The sequence below is a fragment of the Homo sapiens genome, chromosome 14 (genome assembly GCF_000001405.40).
Source record: "Homo sapiens chromosome 14, GRCh38.p14 Primary Assembly".
NCBI lineage: Eukaryota > Metazoa > Chordata > Mammalia > Primates > Hominidae > Homo > Homo sapiens.
This window is the reverse complement of record NC_000014.9, coordinates 85179726-85195409: the sequence shown is the minus strand read 5'-3', so window position 1 is coordinate 85195409 and position 15684 is coordinate 85179726. Positions and strand designations below refer to the sequence as shown.

Here is a 15684-nt window from a genome sequence, read left to right as displayed (position 1 = left end):
AATTTATAAGTAAAAAGATTTAATTGGCTCATGATTCTGCAGGCTATACAGGAAGCATAATGGCATCTGCTTGTGGGGAGGTTTCAGGAAGCTTCCAATCATGACAGAAGGCAAAGGGCGAGCAGGGCATATCACGTAGTGAGAACAGGAGCGAGAGAGAGTGGTGAGGAGGTGCCACACACTTTTTAAAATGATCAGGTCTTCTATGAACTGAAGGCAAGAGCTCATTTATCACTAAGGGGATGGCCCAAGACATTTGTGAGGAATCTGCCCCCATGATTCAAACACCTCCCACAAGCCCCCACCTCCAACACTGGAGATTACAATTCAACATGAGATTTGAGAGGGGACAAATATCCAAATTACATCACCAAGATTAACTTAAATCTTACTAATGTAAACTTTACCTTTACAATTAATTTGCTGATACATTCCATCTACATCTCTCTTTCTCTCTTTTGGAGGCAGGGTCTTGCTCTGTTGGTCAGGCTAGAGTGCAGTAGCACAAACATGGATCATTCCAATCTCCACCTCTCAGGCTCAAGAGATCCTCTCACTTCAGCCACCCAAGTAGTTGGAACTACAGGTGTGTGAAAACATGCCTGGTTAATTTCTGTTTTTCTTGTTTGTTTGTTTTGTTTTGTTTGTAGAGACAGGGTATCACCACTTTGCCCAGGCTTGTCTCAAACTCCTGGGCTCAAGTGATCTGCCCAACTCGGCCTCCCAAAGTGTTGGGATTACAGGTGTGAGCCACCTCACCCAGCTTCGTTCCATCTCTTATACTTAAACAGTTGCCTCTTATTTCCTGCCTCAGCCCTTTTGGGGTTTCTACAGCTGATTCTACTAATGGCTTCCATCGACCAGTGCAGGCTTTTCTCATTTCTTCACTCATATCTTGTAGAATTTCCTTTCTGGGGTCTGTGGTCTTGTCATTATCATATTCTCAGATACTGGATTCTTATGTTGGGTTCTTGTGTTTCTTTTATGTACTTATTTATATATGCTTTCCTTGGTGGGCTCTGGTGCCTTTTAGGCTAACTAACTGAAAAACAATGTATCCACAAAATTAAAATGCACTTTTCCAGTCCAATTGACCCAAACAGAATTATACCACCAAATTAGTTTTACTAGTTTTCTGTTTTTTTCAGTGATATCCAGGGTCCTGTCTTAAGCCTTAGCTCTTGGTGGTTCACTTACCCCATGTTACAGTTTTGTTACTGCATTATAAGTATCCCCAAATCTCAGTGGCTTAAAACAACAACCATTTTATTATATTTCATGAGTTTCTGGGTTAGGAGATTAGGTAGGGCTTGGCTGGGCAATTCTTCTTCTCCACGTGGTCTTGACTTGGTATTTAGCTGGCAGCTGAGCTAGCCTGGTGGGTCTAAGGTAGCATGATTTAGTTGCCAGGCACATTGCCAGAGATGGCTGCCTGGCTGAATGGCTGGGCTGGGCCCCTTCCTTCTCCATGTCATCTATAACCTTCCCACATGATATCTTTAGAGGAGTAGATAGATTTCCTACATGGCAGCTTGGGGCTCCAAGAATAAAAGTCTTCTCAGAGTCAGGAAGTAAAAGCTACCAGTCTCTTAAGGCTAAGACCTGGAACTGAGACATCATTTGTGCTGCATCCTATCAGTTAAAGTAGTCAAAGAGCCTGCCCACATTCAAGAGGAAAAAACATAGGCCCCTCTCCGTAAAGGGAGGTATCTCAAATAATTTGTGGCCATCTTTAATCCACCATATCCCAGCAAAGTTCTATTCTTTGACAGCAGGCTTTTTAGGTAGCGTCACATTTTCAGCAACTATTGCTACTGCGTGCCTGTCTTCTGCATATTTCCTGGTTGCCTAGATTACGATGTCATGAGGAACTGATTAGGCCCTTTGCAACTGTGTCTTACATGAGCCACTGTAGCTCAGTCCCATCCCTTAGCTTGTTCCTCTCCTGCCCAATCAGAAAGTTATGTTTTACACCCAAGCCAGCTTCCGTTGTGACATCACACATAAAATGTGCGTAAAATGCTTACATCAATTGCATTGGCTCCTAGAATTCAGAAATTGCAGTGACTTAAACAAGAGAGTCATTTGTTTCTCTCTCACATAAAAGGAATTTGAAAGAACAGAGTCAAGATCAGGTATGGTGACTTCATGTTCAGGCAACTTCTTGTCTTTTCTATCATTCTTCAAGCATGGCTTCAATCCTTACTGTTACTTTGTGGCTGTTGACCCTCCAACTCTCACAACAAAGTTCCAGGCAGAGAGGCAGGAACAGGATAATAAGAGGGGGCAAAAATGCCCAAATCATCTGTCCATTCACTTGAGGAGCCTTCCTGCCTAGTTTCACCCAACAGCTTCTGCTTACTACTTCTTGTCCAGCTGTTACTACAAGAGAGGCTGGGAAATGTAGATCTTCATTTGGGCGTAAAATAACTAGTGAAAAATCAGGGTTCTTTTACTAAGGACAAAAAGTGGAATGAATTTTAAGTTTTTTTTTTTACAAAGCTCTAAATTGGGATAAGTCTTACCTAGAGTTTAAGAAAGGAATTACTATCCCAATAACTTCAGGTTTTAGGAAGATCCATTACTGTATTGCTTCCTGGAATTGGTTTATGAAGAAGGGTTTTGCTGTGAATTTTGACAAATGATTTTTTTTTTTTTTTAGACAGACTCTCACTCTCTCACGCAGACTGGAGTGCAGTGGCGCGATCTCGGCTCACTGCAACTTCTGCCTCCTGGGTTCAAGCGATTCTCCTGCCTCAGCCTCCCAAGTAGCTGGGATTAACAGGCACCCACCATCACACCCGGCTTATTTTTTTGTATTTTTAGTAGAGACAGGGCTTCACCACGTTGGCCAGGATGGTCTTGAACTCCTGACATCGTGATCCACCCGCCTTGGCCTCCCAATGTGCTGAGATTACAGGTGTGAGCCACTGCACCCGGCCGATATATTTTCTTAACCACTAGACATAGTACAAAGAGCAAATATAGTACCACTATAGTATATTGTTAAAATAATGATTGAATTTTAAGTAATGATTAGAACTAGTGATTACTGAGTCCTAGCACTTAACTCTGTTACCCAATTAATTTCTTACAAAACCCTATGTGATTTGTAACAGTATGATTATCTCTGTTTACTGTTGTAGATAATAAAGCTCAGAGAGGATAGCCACTTCCTCAAGGACACAGAGTAAGTGAAGCAAGCCTGGACCTGAGCCCAGGCAGTCTGCATCCAGAACCCAAGCTCTTAGTCATTATACCAAACCACCTGTCTTGAGACCTGTCTTGTTATGCCTAACATCTGAAAAAGGAATTTAAAACTATTTCTTGTTAAATTTTTTTCTGGCTATTAAATCTATGATAAGTGAGACCAACAAGCACTTCCAAATGATTGCTGGTACTTATATAGTTAACATTGTTCCCCTGTGTATCATTTTTTTTTCTTAAGATGGAGTCTATCTCTGTCACCTAGGCTGGAGTGCAGTGGCGCAATCTTGGCTGACTGCAACCTCTGCCTCCCAGGTTCATGCTATTCTCCTGCCTCAGCCTCCTGAGTAGCTGGGATTACAGGTGCATGCCACCACGCCCAGCTCATTTTTGTATTTTTAGTAGAGATGGGGTTTCACCATGTTTGTCAGGCTGGTCTCGAACTCCTGACCTCATGATCTGCCCACCTCGGCCTCCGAAACTGCTGGGATTTCAGGCATGAGCCAGTGTATCATCTTTTAGCTCTGCATCTAGTGGCATGTTTTGGCACAATTCCTAGTGCAAAAGGATGCCAAGTGTAACGTTTCTTATTGTCTCTGAAAAACAAAACAAGAAATGCCAAGTATTCACCCATTCCAAAGCGAGGTGTTAGCTCATGTAGGCATGGAAGGGAGCTTTTCATTCTATTATTAAAATTAAGGTTGGACAAAACCAGGATATATGGTCACCCTACATTATTAAAAACTAATTTTGCAGCCTTTGCTTATCTTCAGTGTTGCAGATGTTGTAAAGGGTGAACACTGTACCATTTAAAGGCTGAGAGATTAGAGAGAGAAGACCACTCGGAGTCAGAATTACTAATGTGCTTTCAGTCTCCTGCCACTTAGTAGATGAAGGTAAGACATGTGCTACTCCTTTACGTTAAGCCAAGAGAAATAGAAAGAGGTAAACAGCATAATTTAAAGCATAATTTAAAGACTCACAGTTCTGTGAGGAGACCGAGGCCCTGCTGGTCTATGTCAATCTTCCTTGTATTAATAGATTTAGAACCAAATAACCATGCTGGCCCAGGCCCTGGCCCTGGCCCTGCCAACATTTCCTTTGGCCCCGTTTCCTCCCTCAGGTAATACATTTAAATATTGTCTTAGCTAAGATACTTTGAGGGGTGGAATTGAGCTGGGAAAAGAAACACAGAGGATGAAGGAGAGAAGTTTCAGGTCATAGTTCATCATCAGGTTAAGTTGCTTAACTTTGTTATCAGGTTAAGTTGCAACAGAATCAGGGCCACCACTGTTCCTACCTGCCCATAAGCATCCTTGCTCAGCACCTCACCTCTGACAAGCTGTTTGCCAGGGAGCGATAGCCTAATTATATAGGATCTACAGGCACCTTCATTCCTTGATCCTTCCATCCCAACTCACAGTTCTTTGATTCAGTGCTTCTCATTGAAACTTGGCCTTCTCATGACATTTCAGGCTTTTGTGGTATTTCATCCAGTTTTAGATAGTCAGAGAGGCAGACAATGATGTTCTAAGAAGACTCAATAATTTTACTGGCATTATTCCCTCTTTTCAAATAAAAAAGGATGAGGATAACAAAAATAACATTAACGATGAAAAATCATATAGAGGCAAAGCATCCAACAAAGACAAAACGGATGAAGAATGAAAGAAGAATGTATTCAGTTAACATTGATGGAATGTCTTCTATGTGCCAAGCACTGGGCTAAGCCAACTTAATCCTTGGAATTTGCTCTACGAGAGGATGCATGGTTGGCTTCTTCTGTCTCCCCTCATTTAATCTTCTCTTCCGTTCACTAACTGCCATAGGTTTCCACAGGGTTGGGAAGCAGGGGTTCAGAGATGAGAGAAAAAGCAGAAAAGGTCATACATGACCAGTACCATTTTCATCGCTGTCAGTGGGTGGTGGATGCTTTTATGGATTACTGGTGTATCCCCATAGGAATCCTCCTGTTGGTTCTTTTGACATAAGCCAGAAATTGTCTGGCTAGCCAATTTTAAGTGTCCCCACAGTGCTGGCCCTGGGGTTTTAGGGGCCTATCTTCTGTTAGGATGGGGTTTCATTTGCCTTCGCTGGCACTTATACCTGGTTTATTGGAAACATGGCCCTTGTTCTGCTGTCTTTGGATGACAACTTGCTCTAGCGTACCTTTTGCTCTTGGATCTTCAAGTTATAACCAACTTCTTCTTTTAGGTTTCTTCCAGCGATGATCAGACACCAGTTTCCTCAGGGGACACCAGCAAGACATTCAAATCAGTTACCTTGACACCTGTTTACCTCTTTCTATTTCTCTTGGCTTAACGTAAAGGAGTAGCACATGTCTTACCTTCATCTACTAAGTGGCAGGAGACTGAAAGCACATTAGTAATTCTGTCTCCGAGTGGTCTTCTCTCTCTAATCTCTCAGCCTTTAAATGGTACAGTGTTCACCCTTTATAACATCTGCAACACTGAAGATAAGCAAAGGCTGCAAAATTAGTTTTTAATAATGTAGGGTGACCATATATACTGGTTTTGTCCAACCTTAATTTTAATAATAGAATGAAAAGCTCCCTTCCATGCCTACATGAGCTAACACCTCGCTTTGGAATGGGTGAATACTTGGCATTTCTTGTTTTGTTTTTCAGAGACAATAAGAAACGTTACACTTGGCATCCTTTTGCACTAGGAATTGTGCCAAAACATGCCACTAAGGCATTATTCCATTTTCAAGTACGTGCACGCCATATTCAGTCATGAAGATCATAGTAACTCATGAGTAACTCCTAGTAATTCTTCATCACTAACGATGTAAAGAGGAGACAACTAGAGAAATGGGCATGTTACGAGAAAATAAAGATGAAAGAAAAAGAGTACTTCTCTCTCTATTGCCTCCAAATCTCAGGGATTCACCAAGACAAAACTTGTTAAAATTAAACAAGCTAAACATAAACAACTACTTTCAAATGTTTATTTATATTCCATAAGACAAATTGGCTTACTTTGATGACCCACTCCAGGAAGCTTCACTTGATAACCTGGCAATATCAGTAACATTCTTAGATTCTAATTATGAGAGCTTGTTTGAAAGTTCTAGCAGGGAAGCGGAGCTACTTGTATACCCTTGAGTGAACACCAGCCCTCCTCTGTCAGGGATGGTCATCCTCTTCAACCAAACATGCAGCTTTGAGAGGCATGCACATGGAGAGGTGAGGAAGGAAGGGAACACTTGCCTAACCAGCCAGATCAGCTGAATCAACCCTGGAGATCAATGAGGTGACATGTCACTGCAACTCTCCCTCATATCCTTACATTCTAATTAAAGGATGTTCCAAAGTCTTCTACTTAAGAATATTATTGAGTATACTAAAAAACAACATAATTGTAATTTATTAAAATATTTAATAATTTAACATTTTTACTAGTTTATACTGCTGATCTTCATTTCAAAATGGTAGCCACTGTTAGGTGATTGAGTTTTTACCTTAATTATTTTGTTGTTTTATTTCTAAAACTTTCCCTTTTGAAACACTTATGGACTTAGAAATTGCAAAAAATGAAGTATATAAAGTCCCATAGACACATTTTAGTGTGAACATGATCACTGGAATAATAATATAGTAAAGATTTAATTTGGTGGAGTAAGTAGATTCAATATTATATTTTCAAAGTCATCAAGATGTTAAAAATATTTAGAGCACTAAGATTTATATAGTTTATGCAATAAAGTCAATTTCAAATTATTGAGTTATCATTGAAGATCAAACCCTACTGCCTGTTTACCACAAACTCATCAAGAGCATCAGGGATACTCACTGTTAAGTAGGGAAAATCTTTAGGAAAAGAAATTATTGTATTAGTCCGTTTTCACATTGCTATAAAGAAATACTCAAGACTGGGAAATTCATAAAAGAAAGAGGTTTAATTGACTCACAGTTCTGCATGGCTGGGGAGACCTCAGGAAAGTTGGAATTATGGCAGAAGGTGAAGACAAGCAAGTACCTTCTTCCCAAGGTGGCAGCAGAGAGAGTATGCAGGGGAAAATGCCATTTATAAAACTCATTCACTATCATGAGAACAGCATGGGGGAAACCGCCCCTATGATCCAATCACCTCCCACCAGGTCCCTCCCTTGACACAGGGGATTACAGTTTGAGATAAGATTTGGGTGTCTACACAGAACAAAATCATACCAAGTATGATTGTAAGGAAATACGTGTGCAAAAAATGTCTAAAAGTAAAACTTTATAAAATGTGTATTTTTGTAGATGATAAAATTCCCTGGTTTGAAAACTATAAAATTGGTAGATTGGCAGAGACTTATATTAGTATAAATTCATACATCTGGTTCCAATATTTGAAATGCTTTATTATATTAATTCCCCAAAATAAGTCAACAAACTTGCAGTAGCTATTATTATACCCAATTCTGAAATGAAATAGAGCCTTAGAGAGTGTGGGTGATTCATTTTTGTTTATAGAGCTGTTTCCTGGCTCAGCTCAGATTACACTCTACTGTACTACCTGTACTTTTTTTTTAATGTCGTACACTATAAGAATTTGCTAAATAAGGTGGATTAGATTGGTGGCTTTTATAACTTAATGTCACTAGATTTTGGGGTTACCTTTGATTGATAGACAACTTAATTGATAGAAATCTTGTCAAATATGACAAGGTTTCAAAATTAGCCTTGATGAATACTTCTATCTACATATGTTAATTCCTTCCTAAAAGATTAATTCAACAAGCATTGAAAAATATCAGGGCAGAAAAAGAGTTGATTCTCAAATAAATTATTATTAAATCCAAATGGAGTTAGGTAGGCTCTTTGAGTATTTGCATATTGGCTGATTATTTCTGCAATATTGCCTGGATTCAATTAGTACAAATGGTATATAAAGACCAGTATACTGTTTTCCTGGTACAATAAGAGAATAATTGCTGTACTTATGCCTTCTTTTTTTCAATGTTAACTTAGACTACAAGATATTAATTTGTAGCTACTGGTTACAAATGTTAATACATAGCCATTTTAGAAATGATTTAATATTTGCCTTCCCTTGGCATTTCATAATCCTTTTTCTAAATAAGTGTTACAAAGAAAGCAATCTGGAGAAAAAGAGCTAAGCTTCCTTCATTCTAGAATAAGTTTATCATACTTATTGAAACTGACATAAGGGTTACCTACTTTTTCCCCAAAAGTCGAACTTCAAGATTCAATTGGCCATTTGTAGAGTCATACTGTGGATTGCTATTAGGTTGCATTCAACAGGTTGATGTGAGTACTTGGATGAAATATATAAATGCATACTGATTCCACTAGAACAGCAAAGACAATTAAGTGGCCCAATTTGGTGTCTCTCACAGCGTTCTATCCTATGGCCAATACCATGCTAAAGAATCTGTTCCTTTGAAGGAGAAATGCAGTAATAATTCTCAAATACTAAACATTCGCCTAGGGTACATGCCTTCATTGTAATGCTACAACCCAACTCAGGGCGAAGTGCTAAAGGGCTCTTAGCAAAGTGCTAAAGGATTGGACACATAGTGGTCAAATTTGCGTGGCAAAAGGGAAAAAGTCGAATTTCTGTTCCCTATATCATCAGTGATTACATGTTTCCTGTGATCTTGCTTACAACTGACCTCTTTTGCTCCCTAAACCACCCTGTACAATGTGTTCAAAGATACTTCCCTCAACTAGTCATATCATTCAACGAGTACACATGGACCCCCAGTTATGGAAAAACACAGTGGGGAATACAAAGAAACACAGTACAAGCTCTCCAGTGTCCAAACATTTAGGTCGGCGATTATGCAAAATCGGTGGCCCTCTTTAACCCTGTTCCGACGTAGCATAACAAACAACTAGGACTGCCTCACAGGAGAGAGGCAATGCCACATGGACGTAATTTATAAGTTAATTAGCACAGTCTACTGGGCCAAGTCGTGACAGATGTGACACCTGCTTTCAGGGAAAAAATGAAAAAGAGGAAAGAACAGCAGAGGTAAACTCCCTCTCTAGGGAGGTTTGTGGTCACACACAGGTCACGTTGGCAAGCATATAAAACAGAATTTTAATAGACCAAAGTAACTTTGAAAGGCAAGCTATAAATATGAATGCAATTAAAAAACACACACTAAGTTCTCCAGCTGAATGAATAGTTAAGTGTATGTACTAGGGGGAGGCATTTACATACCAAGGGTTGTTCAGAACAGTAAAATGTTTTATGTATATTTATATATATAGATATATATATGCTTTATGTGTATATATATTTTATGTATATATATAGATATAAATATGCTTTATGTGTGTATATATATATATTCTTAAAATTATCTATTTGCCTAATATATAATGTAACAGTTTGCCACCAAATTTGTTTTTTTTTAAACCAGAAAGAACTATTAAACTGGCCAAATCTTTATACAGTATGAAGTCAAGTAGTGGAGGGGAGTAGTTTAGTGATATGCTAAATCTATTTACTTTTGTCAGGAGATATAATATGAGCAAAAATAATGCTATCATCTATTAGGTTGGTGCAAAAGTAATTGCTGTTTTTGCCACTAATTTTAATGGCAAAACCGCAATTACTTTTGCACCAGCCTAATAGAATTTTGACTTCGACTGTTTCAACTCAAACTGGGATTTTCTACGAACATGAGTTTATATAGTATTTTACTAAAACCAATTGCCACATCTCAGAGCTGCAAGAATTTAGACTCTGTGCAACTTTTAAAACTAACCAATGGACGCATACAAAACTGACACCATCAATTCAAGTGTTGAGCAGTTTTTATTCCCCAGTTAAGAAGCTGAGGTAGATATGTGCATGCAGGGATTTTACTGAGGTGTACTCTTAAGAGTCATTCCTTTGGAGAAATGAAGGGGAGCAGGGTTGAGTAGAGGAAGAAGTTGAAAAGCAAAGCAATTTCAGCATAGGCCCCATCTACCCCCATGGTTAACTCAGATTCTGGGTCAACCTTAAGAGTTGTACAGATTTGATGCTGGGCTACTGGGCTTTTACTACACACAGACTCCAGTATAATCCAGCCACACATATCTCTTTTTTTCAAACTATAACCTATGAAAACTTAAACTCATAAAAAACACCAATATCGGAGTCTTCATTTTTTTTTGTTTTTTTTTTGTTTTTGTTTTTTTGGGACGGAGTCTCGCTCTGTCACCAGGCTGGAGTGCAGTGGCACAATCTCGGCTCCTTGCAACCTCCGCCTCCTGGTTTCAAGAGATTCTCCTGCCTCAGCCTCTCGAGTAGCTGGGACTACAGGCATGTGCCACCACACCCAGCTAATTTTTGTATTTTTAGTAGAGATGGGTTTTCACCATGTTGGCCAGGATGGTCTCGATCTCTTGACCTCGTGATCCACCTTCCTCAGCCTCCCAAAGTGCTGGGATTACAGGCATGAGCCACCACACCCGGCCAGAGTCTTTGTTTTTTAAATTAAAAGACTTAGAACCAAATGATTCATCTAGGACAATGGTTATTAAAGAGTAGTTCTTGTACTAGCAGTATCAATATCACCTGGAAACTTGGTAGAAATGCAACTTCTTGGGTCCTACCCCAAAACTGCTGAATCAGAAGCTCTAAGGTGGGGCCAGACAACCTGCTTTAACATACCTTTCAGTGGATTCCAATACACTCTAAAGTTTGAGAACTACTGACCTAGTACTTTGAAAACATAATTCAATAGTTGAGGGGAAAAAAGCTATCCAAAATATTTCAGAATTGTAGGACTGGCCTGGGAGTAAAAAAGAACAAATGGAATCACACTCATGATTAGAGTTTGGTTTATGTGGATTTTGCTCCATTCTTCTTTGTCTGTCCTGGTTTCTGCTATGCATGCAGGTGATGTCTGGTGGCATTGCACCTGTGACAACAACCATATCTGTGGTTTATCCAACTGTGTCCTAAGTATATGCTTAGCCGGTGGAATGTATGATTTCACTTGGATTGATAGGAAGAAATAAGCCTTAAGAATGACAAGGATTTCTACTTTAGCAAGCCTCAACTGGATTAGGAAATAGCTTGTCTGGGGTTCAGTAATGATAATTCAGTCAATATCTTCCCTGAATTTAAGATTATCCAAAGAGCATTTCAGGATGGAAATTTTGTCCTATAGGTTTCCACCCAACCCTTTTCTTCTTAAACTATCCTTGCCTGTTTGTCATTTGAATGAGGCATCTTCTGGAATAATACGGCTGGAAGAAAGTGAGCAGGGCTTAGTCAGTCATTGCTACAAGAATATAGATGTGGGAAAACAGTCACTTTGCAATGTGGATACCTGGCAAATATACCTTATCCAAGTGATGAAGTTTACCATCCTTAATGTTAAGCCATGTTTATTACACTTACCAAAGTCCACATAGCTACCTCCTTTTTATCATTGGAGATCTGCTCAAATGTGACCTCCTTACAAAATGCTTGGGGCTACCTTATCCAAAGTTATCTTTTACCTAACTTTTGTATCTTCTATCCAAATATTTGCTTTATTTGCCTCATAGACTTCATATCTGAAACTATTCCATTATGTGCGTTTGTGTGTTTTGCAATTTGCTTATTTCTTCAGTAGGTGAGGAATACCATGACAGTAAGCAAATTATTTATGTCATTCTTCATTATCTATCAAGGATTTAGAATATTACCTGTCACATATTAGGCACAAAATCAATACATTAAAAAAAAAAAAAAACTAAACTAAAACAAAACTTGTCCCGGTATCTTTAAGCATACTTATCAAAGATCAAAGCTGAACTCTGGTTTTCTCCAATGTCCATCATTTTTTCACCCAGCTGCTATGCACATAAAGAAAATGATCTTATCACAGTAAATAACAATAACTAACACTTACTGACTTACTATGTGCTTGAGTGGTTTATATACAGTTGAAAGCCAAGCATTTTAGTAGGAATTCAGGTATTTTCATCCCAGTTTTATAGATAAGAAAATTAAGTTTCTAAAGGAGTAATTTTTCCAAATTCATGAAAAAAAGCAAGCTGTAAAATTGTCTGAATTGGACACTTAGGTTCTTAATCATTTTGTCAGCAGTAGTTAGAATGTAGTTGCATCAGAATCTCCTGGGGTGTCTTTTCAAATTCTAGATTATCTGGCCCTATTACCAGAAATTCAGATATAGTGGGCAGAGAGTGGGGCTCAATTATTTGCTGTTCACCTCACCTAGATTTCTAAAGCAGACAGTTCATATACAGCATTTTGCTACAGATTTTGTTAGATCAGACTACACTAATGCCATATGATAACAGTCATAGGGAGAAGGATATAGCATTTTGGGAAAATTCCTGCTGCTAAAGTCCTGCACAAGAAAAGTGCAGTTCAGGTAATGAGTCATAAGCAACAATTACTCTTCTCCACAGTTTTTCGGTCAAGTTCAGATTAAGTCTGGTTCTGATAACCCTGTAGGGACAGATGAGATCAGAGTCCTCCTGTGTCTGGCTTCGAGGATATTACCATACCTCCCTGATGGAATGAATGGCTCTTCACTGAGAAAGGTGGTAAGAGATCTCACCTTTCCTGATGGGTGACTCTGGGCTGCAGGAATAGAGGCCAAGTTTTAATCTTAGTAGAAGAAGACTTGCCATTGACGCGCCTGACTTTTGACAGGAATACTGCAGCTGCTTGTACTCAGGCCTTAAATTGGAGTGAGGGAAAGGCAGGGTCTGTCGTTGGCTGATGATGTATTTTCATCAGCTCATAACAAAACAGAGTAGCTCAGACAGCCTGTTGAAATAAATTTAATGTTATTTTGAAAGAAAGAAAGAAAGAAATAGTAGATTCATTCTTGGCAGCTAAATTCAATCTTGTGTGAAAGGAAAGCTAACATAATTTGAAGTGCCACAAGAACCTTAAATCTCCCCCAGGATTTCGTTGCTTGGCTTTTCCTTTCTCTCTCCCATGCCTCTCTCTCTTCCTTCAGGGAGCTTGGTTTCCTATTTCCTATGGCTTTAGCCTCTTCCTTGAGTGTTTCCACTTTCTCTGGGCATTAATGTAAGCTCCTCATGGCTAACATGCATTTGTGATTGTAAGGTCTTCCCTTGGGATTTCATTCTGCTGCTTGGATGAATGGTCAATTAAACACAAAGAGGGGTGTTCCTTATTGGCTCAGGTCTTTCTGCATCAGAATCCCTAAAATGGCAGAAAAAGAACTAATGAGTTCTATTCATTAGAATAGAACTAGTTCTATGTCCTGATGAGCTAGTACTTTTGATGTAAGATGCTTGTCTTTTGCTTACCTCCCTTCCAAAAGAAGCTAATAATCCAAAGCCATCCCCTGCATAAATATTAAAACATATCTTTGTTAACCCCAAATGTGTTATATTTATTGACATGCTAGGAAAATATATATGAAGTCTAAAGAAAATAATGAATATAACTCATAATCCCACCACACGGGAGATGGCTACTATTAACATGTTGAGATACATCTTTCTGGTTCTTTGTTCTAGTTATGTGTCTATATTTGTACATATATGTAAACAGAAACAGGTTTTTACTTCAAAGAGCTCATAGATTCTATCCTATTTTGTAAACTATCCTATTTTGTCCTTTATTTAAATATTATAATACTTTATGATTACATGTTATTAAATCTTAGCTACCTTATTCTCTTAATAAATCCTCTATTTTTGAATGTTTATATTTCATTATTTTATTCTACTAAAAAATTATGAAGACCATTCTTCTAAAACATCGCTATATTTTGTTAAAGTATATGACTTTTGAAAAAATATATAGTTTCCCATTTTCCATGTTTTGCTTATTAGTGGCTCTCAAAGTGTGATCGCTAGAGTAGCATCAGCGTCACCTGGGTATTTTTTAATAAGACAAGTTTTCAGGTTCCACCCAGAGCTACTGAATCAGAAATTCTGGTGGTGAGGTCCAGAAACTTGAGTTGTAACAACAACTCCAGGTGATTCTGATATATCCTAATGAGTGAGAACTATGGATCTGGGATATTTGGTGGTTAGAGAGAACTGCCAGTCTAGCAGCCTCACTGTACAATATTTGTAAGTCCTGCAGCAATGCTGGGATATATTTCCTAGGAAAATTCAACTATTTGTCTCATATTTCAGATTTTTTTGGCTGACTCTGAGAATAACAGTTCTGGCAAGTCTTCTGGGGTCTTTATGTTAGCAGCAGCAAATCCTTATGGGTCTGCAGCAACTTGATTCTTGCCTACTCAGAGGAAAGAATTCATCTGTGGGGCATAATGCACAGTGAAAGATAAAGGCAAGTTTTAGAGAAGCAGTGAAAGTTTATTAAAAAAGTTTTAGAGCAGGAACGAAAGAAAAGAACAGGGCCAAGCAGGCGACTTGAGCAATCCAAGTGCCCTGTTTGACCTTAGACTTGGGGTTTTATACATTGGCATGCTTCGGGAGTTTTGCATCTCTCCTCCCTTGATTTTTCCTTGGGGCAGGCTGTCCGCATGTGCAGTAGCCTGCCAACACTTAAGAGGGGAGTGCATGCATGGTGTGTTTACTGAAGTAGTGCACATGCTCACTTGAGGGATTTTTCCCCTTACCAATCGAGTGTTCCTAGAGAAAGGTCATATACCAGTTAAACTCTGCCATTTTGCTTATTAGTGCACATGCTTTGGACCCACTTGCCCAAATCCTGCGATCTTACTGGGAAGCTGCTGATCACCAGCTTCAGGTGTTTTCTGTCTATTGGGAGACTGATTTTCCTTGATGCCAGATGTGACCAATTATTATTTTAGAGAGATAGCTTAACAACTGCATGACCATTACCTAATGGTTGACTTGAGATGGTATGTGTTCCCTTGACCTTGACCCCCTCCGTGGGCAGGAACTAGAGTGGCTCATTTAACTCAGCTTGCAGTCTATGGACAGCTAAGTGTTAACAGCTCAGTGAAGGGTCAGGCTGATTGCCTCTTGCAACTGCCATTTATGACGCCTGAGTTCTTGTTCAGTGTCCAGGAAGAGTCAGGTCATAGGAACTGTTTAAAAGATGATGAATGCAGAAGACTTTATTGAGCAGTGGAAGCGGCTCTTGGTGAAAGGGGAGCTAGAAAGGGGATGGTGCAGGAAGAAGGTGATCTTTCCCTGAAGCCCAGCTGTCTCTGGCTAGGCTCCCTTGTGAAACTGCGCCATCTGAAGTGAGCCATGTTATGTGTAGTCACTGACCCTCAATTCCTTCTCTACTTACCACTCATCTGCTTGTATCCCCAGCACTCAGCAGCTTGAATCCCTGAGATTCAGCAGCTTGCATCCCTGACCACTTGCATCAGCTGCCTGTGTTTTTATGGGCACAGGATAGGGAGTGGGGCAGGCCAAAAAGCCAATCATTTGGGTAGGAAAAATAGGGTCAGATGCTTTCATTTAGGGCTGAGAGTCCAGGCTTGAGGTAGAGTTTAGCTGGGAGCCCAGCCCTTCAGTATATGGGTCAGCAGTTCCCATAGAGCTGAGGTTCCAGGGCCAAA

At 39.4% G+C, this 15684-nt stretch overlaps 1 long non-coding RNA gene across 6 annotated transcripts in view; it reads left to right on the top strand.

Annotated features, from left to right (window-relative positions):
* The first annotated feature begins 707 nt into the window (after nt 1–707).
* The window catches only part of LOC105370604 (uncharacterized), a 46058-nt gene continuing 31081 nt past the window's right edge, over nt 708–15684 (top strand). For 2 of the 6 annotated variants that reach the window (XR_944102.1, XR_944101.3), the window contains exons 1-3: nt 708–2135; nt 3147–3190; nt 3981–4103. This is a non-coding gene — a long non-coding RNA (uncharacterized LOC105370604). Of the gene's footprint in view, nt 2136–3146; nt 3191–3963; nt 4104–5854; nt 6483–15684 lie in introns of those variants that run through there. The other 4 variants (XR_944100.2, XR_944103.2, XR_007064387.1 and 1 more) reach the window with 4 other exon arrangements.